Source organism: Homo sapiens, chromosome 10 (assembly GCF_000001405.40).
Source record: "Homo sapiens chromosome 10, GRCh38.p14 Primary Assembly".
NCBI lineage: Eukaryota > Metazoa > Chordata > Mammalia > Primates > Hominidae > Homo > Homo sapiens.
This window is the reverse complement of record NC_000010.11, coordinates 11,310,869-11,316,832: the sequence shown is the minus strand read 5'-3', so window position 1 is coordinate 11,316,832 and position 5,964 is coordinate 11,310,869. Positions and strand designations below refer to the sequence as shown.

General features: G+C 42.2%; 1 protein-coding gene across 70 annotated transcripts in view, besides 2 other annotated features; it reads right to left on the bottom strand.

Annotated features, from left to right (window-relative positions):
• CELF2 (CUGBP Elav-like family member 2) overlaps window positions 1-5,964 on the bottom strand; it is an 874,126-nt gene that overhangs the window by 19,843 nt on the left and 848,319 nt on the right. For 36 of the 70 annotated variants that reach the window (NM_001326323.2, NM_001326320.2, NM_001326321.2 and 33 more), the window contains 1 exon segment: window positions 2,575-2,694. In NM_001326323.2, the coding sequence (NP_001313252.1) occupies window positions 2,575-2,694 (120 nt within the window). 70 annotated transcript variants of the gene reach the window in all.
• Window positions 471-976: an enhancer, noted in NCBI's record as "H3K27ac-H3K4me1 hESC enhancer chr10:11357820-11358325 (GRCh37/hg19 assembly coordinates)". NCBI's record gives its function as "activates a minimal SCP1, AML or CMV promoter by ChIP-STARR-seq in naive H9 embryonic stem cells {active_cell/tissue: H9 hESC(naive)}" and the evidence as "EXISTENCE:reporter gene assay evidence [ECO:0000049][PMID:30033119]".
• Window positions 977-1,483: an enhancer, noted in NCBI's record as "H3K27ac-H3K4me1 hESC enhancer chr10:11357313-11357819 (GRCh37/hg19 assembly coordinates)". NCBI's record gives its function as "activates a minimal SCP1, AML or CMV promoter by ChIP-STARR-seq in naive H9 embryonic stem cells {active_cell/tissue: H9 hESC(naive)}" and the evidence as "EXISTENCE:reporter gene assay evidence [ECO:0000049][PMID:30033119]".

Genomic DNA, 5,964 nt, shown 5'->3' with positions numbered 1-5,964 from the left:
CAGTTTAATTGAGCTACTTGTCTACTGACCAAAAACTTCGTTTTTTGGGAGAGGTGCTGGGCTCTTGGGCAGGAAAGAGGGTAAAATGTTGGCTCTGGTGAGTCATCTACCTGCTTTCTTGCTGACCGCTGTGTCGGTGGGTAAGAGTTGGCTCTATTCAGAAAACCTGAATACTCTCCATATGGAAACAGATAATGGCTGCTGCAGTGGGGTGGGATTCATAGCAGTGCTATGGAAGCTGCCGTCAACTATTTGAGAAGCTGACTCTGTCCAGGTAACCACTGCTTGACGAATTTCTTTAGGAATTATCCAGTGGAACTGGTAGCATAATCATCTCTGTTGAGAAGGAATGGTCTGAAAGAAGATACTCTATCTTGGAAGGTTTTCTGTTGATATTTAGAGACAAGCAGCAAATATTAGCTCGAGGTCAATGCTGGAGATTGTAAAACGGCTCTGCATTAGTAACACTTTCCAATCACAAGGAATGTATTTTCATTGGTGTCTGGTTTTGGGTTTAATTAAATATTTTCTTGGTTCATACTATCTAGCAGGGGTTATTTGAAATGACAAACATTCTTTCTTCGTTTTCTATGAACTATACAGACTTATATTAACCCATTGGCAAAGAATTTTAAAAAGCAAAACAATTTAAGCCTGTTGTCCTTGCCAGAAGCAAAATGTGTATCACACAAGACCCCACACAAGAACTACTCATGGTTTCTCTGCCATTCAACACAGCCCCTCTCCAGTCCCTGACGAGAACGATGGGAAAATCTCAGCAATGCAGAGCAGAGCAGCGTGGACAGGGCGGGACGCAGACGAGAGGACACACACACACCAGTCATGAGCACGTGCTGAGGAGGACAACCATTCCCACTGGCCTGTTACTCTGCAGACCAAGGACAGGCAGGCGGTCAAATCAAAGTCCTTGTTTTAGGGGAACTAGGTCCTGGGGCAAGAGAAGCAGCATGAGGGGATGTGTGCGAGCACACGCGTCCTCGACCTAGGTGAAGGACAAGGTCAGAGCGAGGAGCTGTACCGGAAATGGGGGTCAAGGCAGTGAGGCTCCTACTTGGCTGCTGGAAAAGTCAAAGCTGGAGGCGGTTCTAACTGGAATAAAACAATGAGGCCGCGGCACAGCTACCACTTCACGGGCTCCACGCTAATCACGAGCCGTCCCATTTGGGAGGTATGGTCAGCTAAAGCTCGGTCCACGTTTTCGCTTTTCCCCAAAAGATGTACTAAATACAAAGATGTACTAAAACCTGAAAAATGTCCTAATTCTGAAAATGATTTATCAGGATTATACAAGTTAATTTTTATTTGGATAAATTTTAGGTTCATTTTCTACCAAGTCCAGTGCAAGGTATTCCGAGCCTTTACAGTATGAAATTACTGGGATTATTTTGCTTTAAAAAAGTATACTGCCTGGTCACCCTTTAAAAACAGTCCACTTATTGAACCATGGCTTAAAATAGGGCAACAACTGTCACGGACTCCTTTATTAAAAATGAGAATGGGCAGGTGCCGGGGTGCCTGGGCTGCATGGTAGCTAACTGGGCTCCCGTATCAGCAGCTCTGTTAGCTGTCGTGGATCTGCTGGGCTTGGCTACTCTCAGGCAACCAGGGGATCTGAAACGGAGGGACAGGGAAATTACATGTCCCCGCTGTGGGCTGAGGATCAGTTTCCTCAGTACAGGAACCCACACCGAGCATGAATCTAAAACACGACTTATCCTCTGGCCGGCACACTGCTCCCCCATCAACCGAGAATGACAGGAGCGGGTGGGCTGTGGAGGACAGAACCTGCAGTTCTCTGGTGAGTCCATCCATATGTTTCGGAACCAAGTACAATTTTCTAAGTGATTTGCCTCCAGCCTATTTCAACCTGCCACAGCTAAATGATGTCCCTCTGGATGGTCACTGATGTAGAGTGACCCATACCTGTGGGTGCTTAATAAAGATTCTGATCATGTCACTGCCAGCAGTGGCTCCTCTCCCCTCAGTTTCATTTCCTTCTTTCCAAGGCCTAATTTTCTCCCCTATTTAATTGTCATGAATCTTTAGACTTTGGAGCTGGAGGCTACCTTTAAGAATCATCTGACCCAGAACTTTCCATTCTCAAATGGAGACTCCCAAGCCCAGAGAGGGAGCAGCATCTGCCTGACTTCCCACAGCTGCCTGGCAGCAGAGCTGGGTTCAGGCTTCCAGCCTTCCAGTCCATTAACTTTTCCCACCGTAACACCCTGCCTCGCAGGACAGAACCGACCGAAACCAAACCAAACCAAACTCCTGGAAACCTGAAAAGAGCTGCCAGCCACAGAACCCCATGGATGAGCACACGCGCTGTGCTACACACTGAAGAGAATCTGGGGGTGGAGAGTGGTTGGGGATTTTCTGAGGCAAAACGAGTGTAGACAGCTTTTGCCTATCAAAGCATGTGCTCCTCCATCCCAAGTTTTAGTTCTCCCCGTGGCATATCCTTTTTCGGGTCATTTCTGGCTGACCACTTTCTGTGGAGAATTTGGGGGAAGGCTGTCCACCAGAGCAGCAAATACTCACTGTTGATGGTACCTGCTAGTGCATTAATATTATTCAGTCCAACAGTGGCTCCAGCCAGTCCTTGCAGAGTCCCGAGAGAGGTCAAGGAGTTCATGGCTGCACCAGCAGTGGAGTTGGGGGTTGAAGCAGCCACTGAAAAAAGGAAAACAGAGACAAGGGGAGAGAAGACACGAGGTGAGTGAGAGCCGAGACTGGAAATCCTTCTGTCATCATCTCAGTGGACGGAGCTGAGGAGCTGTGCTTGTGGCTTTGGGTGAAGGACATGTGGGATTGTACTTGTGGCAATTTTGACAGATTTGGTGATTAAAAAAATCTTCACAGCACTGTTTTACCAATACTGCAAACACACTCACTGCTGGATGGTGGGGAAATCTGCGAATGGGAGGCCTGCCCTGCCAGGTTTAGACATAATGAAGTTGACAATCATTCTTTGGCTTCATTATTGGATAATATCTTGCTTAGTTCTTTTTTTTTTTTTTTAAGCCTATGGGCATGAGTAAGATGGGCCTTTATTTTTCCTTCTTGTACTGTCTTTAGTTTTGCTACCAAGGTTTTGCTAACCTCATACAGTGACTGGGAGAGTGTTCCTATTTTTCTGTTCTCTGGAATAGACTGTGTCAGATTAAAATTAATTGTCATTTAAGTGTGTGGTAGCACTTGCCAGTAAAATGTTCTGGACTTTGTATTTCTTCATGGGAAGATTCTGAAATAGTGATTACATTTCCCTGATAAATAGGATGACTGAACTTTTCTTTTTGTTCTTGAATCCGTTTTACTAAGTTGCTGCTTTCTAGAAATTGCTGTATTTTGTTTTCAACTCTATATTGGTATAAAGTTATTCATAATATCTTCAATAAACTTCTAAAATGGAAAACATTTAAATGTAAGACATTTCTTGGCCTGCCTGATCTGTCAGTTACTGGAAGAAGCATGTGAACGTCTGTCATTCCAACTCCATGTAAACATGCTTATTTTTGGAAATGTATCTTGAAGGTATATTTCTATGCAAGAGGTTACTACTTGCATAGATTTGGAAATTATCCTATCTTCTGGTGAAATAAACCTTTTTGGGGCAACCTTTTTGTTTCTAATTTTTCCTTGAAGTCTGTTTTGTATGATGTTTGGTGTAAGAAAGCCGGCTGTTTTGGGTTTTTGCATTGGATATCTTTTGCCATCTTTTTACTTATCTGTTTGTATTTTGGCTACATCTCTAATACACAGACAGGTTTAAAAACAACACAGCCTGATAATTTAAGTCTTTTACTAGGGGTATTTAGATTTTGTCCTATTTGTTCTGCTAATATTACATTTTTTTCTCTCCTTTCTTGCTGTCCTTTGAGACAGAGGCTCGCTCTGTCGCCCAGACTGGAGTGCAGTGGCATGATCTTGGCCCACTGCAACCCCTGCCTCCCAGGTTCAAGTGATTCTCCTGCCTCAGCCTCCTGAGTAACTGGCACTACAGGCGCCTGCCACCATGACTGGCTAATTTTTGTATTTTTATTAGAGACGGGGTTTCACCATGTTGGCCAGGATGGCCTCAATCTGTTGACCTCGTGATCCGCCCGCCTCGGCCTCCCAAAGTGCTGGGATTACAGGTGTGAGCCTCCAAGCCAGCCAGGTTTGTCTTTCAATTCCATTTCCCCTCTCTACTACTTTGGAAGTCATGCATAGTATTCCTACTCTTTCATATATGGTCATAAAAACTTTAAGTCATCTTTAACTTATGAAAATCAAAGTTACTTATCTTTGCTCTTTGCCAGAACAATTCAAGGATCTGAGAATACTTTAAGGCAGAAGAGCCCCCTCTGAACCCAGATGTGGGATATTCATGTAGTCATGTATTTTACTTGTAGCTTGGTTTTCAGTTTTTATTCAGCACTTCATTATTATTCTTCATACCACGTATTTTGATTTGCCCACATATTTACCACTTCCTTTGCTTATTATTCATTCTTCTTTCACCTGGGTTATTTATCCTTTAGTTTGAAGTTATATCCAATACAGCTTTATTTTGTGAGGGTCTATTGGTGAAAAAGTCTTTTAGCTTTGGTTTGTATGAAAATTACATCTTTATCCTAGTTCATGAAATATTTCTTTCCTGGGTATTCGAGACTGAGAGGTTTTTCCAAGCACATTTTATGGCCTTCTGATTTCCATTATTACTGTTGAGAGGTCAGGTACTGAGATGTTTGTGTTTCTTGGACAGTGGTTTTTCTCTCTGTTTTAAAGATCTTCTCCTTGTCTTTGGTGTTCTGCATTTATCACTATGGTGCTTCCAAGTTTAGATTGATTTTTATTTTCACTGCTTGGAATTCATCTGGATCCCTGAATATGTGGATTTTTGTTTCTACCTTTTATCAGTTCTGAAAAGTTCTTGGTTATTAGCTGCTCTTATATTGACTTTCCCCCATTCTCTTTCTCCTTTCCACTAGGAATTTAGCTAGACCTAAGTTAGATCTATTCCATGTCACTTCACCTCTCATATTCTGTTTCTCGGTTGGGCATCATCTCCAAAATCTGTGTTCCAGCTCACCACATTCTCTTTCAATTGTATGTAATGTTCCGCTAAACTTACATCTCCAAATTTTACAATTTGATTATATTTTTTCATTTCTAGAATGTTATCAACATGATTGGTCATTTTTCATAATCAGTGGCTTTTTCGCTTTTCAAATTCTTTTAATATGTAAACATATTAGCTGTATTTCCTTTCTGTTGTATGCTAATAATGCTAATATCTGAGGTCTAATAATGGTGGTGTCTAATAATGTCCCTGCTATTTCTCACTCTTGGTGCTTGGTTTACTTGTATATTTTGTGGGGTTTTTTTTGGTTGTGAGCTTAAATATCTTGGAACTTTATTTCTAGGAATAATTTGAGGCCTGGGTTGAAGATGGGTTCTTTCAAGATGACTTACATTTGATTCTACAAGGTGCTGGAGGAAACTACAAGCTGGGGATACTTTAACTTCATGGCTTAGGATTTTTGGCCACTCAGATACAATCAAACTGGGTTGTAAACTCACGTGAGGGATGGTTTATTGTTATGAATTCTCAGAGGGAAATTCCCCTGGCCCTACCCAGCACTATGTTTTGAGATAGTCAGTTTTCCTTGTAGTTTTCTAGTGGGGAGTATTTTTTGTTCATCTTTACACTGAGAGTTTAGCCTTTTGAGGTTTCAGGCTCGTATGGGGAGGGTCTCCTATTAGATACTGCACAGGAGCCTTGGACTTCCTTGTATTCCTTATGGTTGGGAAAGCTGTGCGAACAGTTATTAGAATTTATTCGGTTCACCAAATATCCTTAAGGGGAAAGCCACCTTCAATATGCTACCCCTTCTCTGAGTTTCCTCTTTCACTTAATCATTGATTTATGAGTATTCTTTGCTAATTGAGTAGTTATTG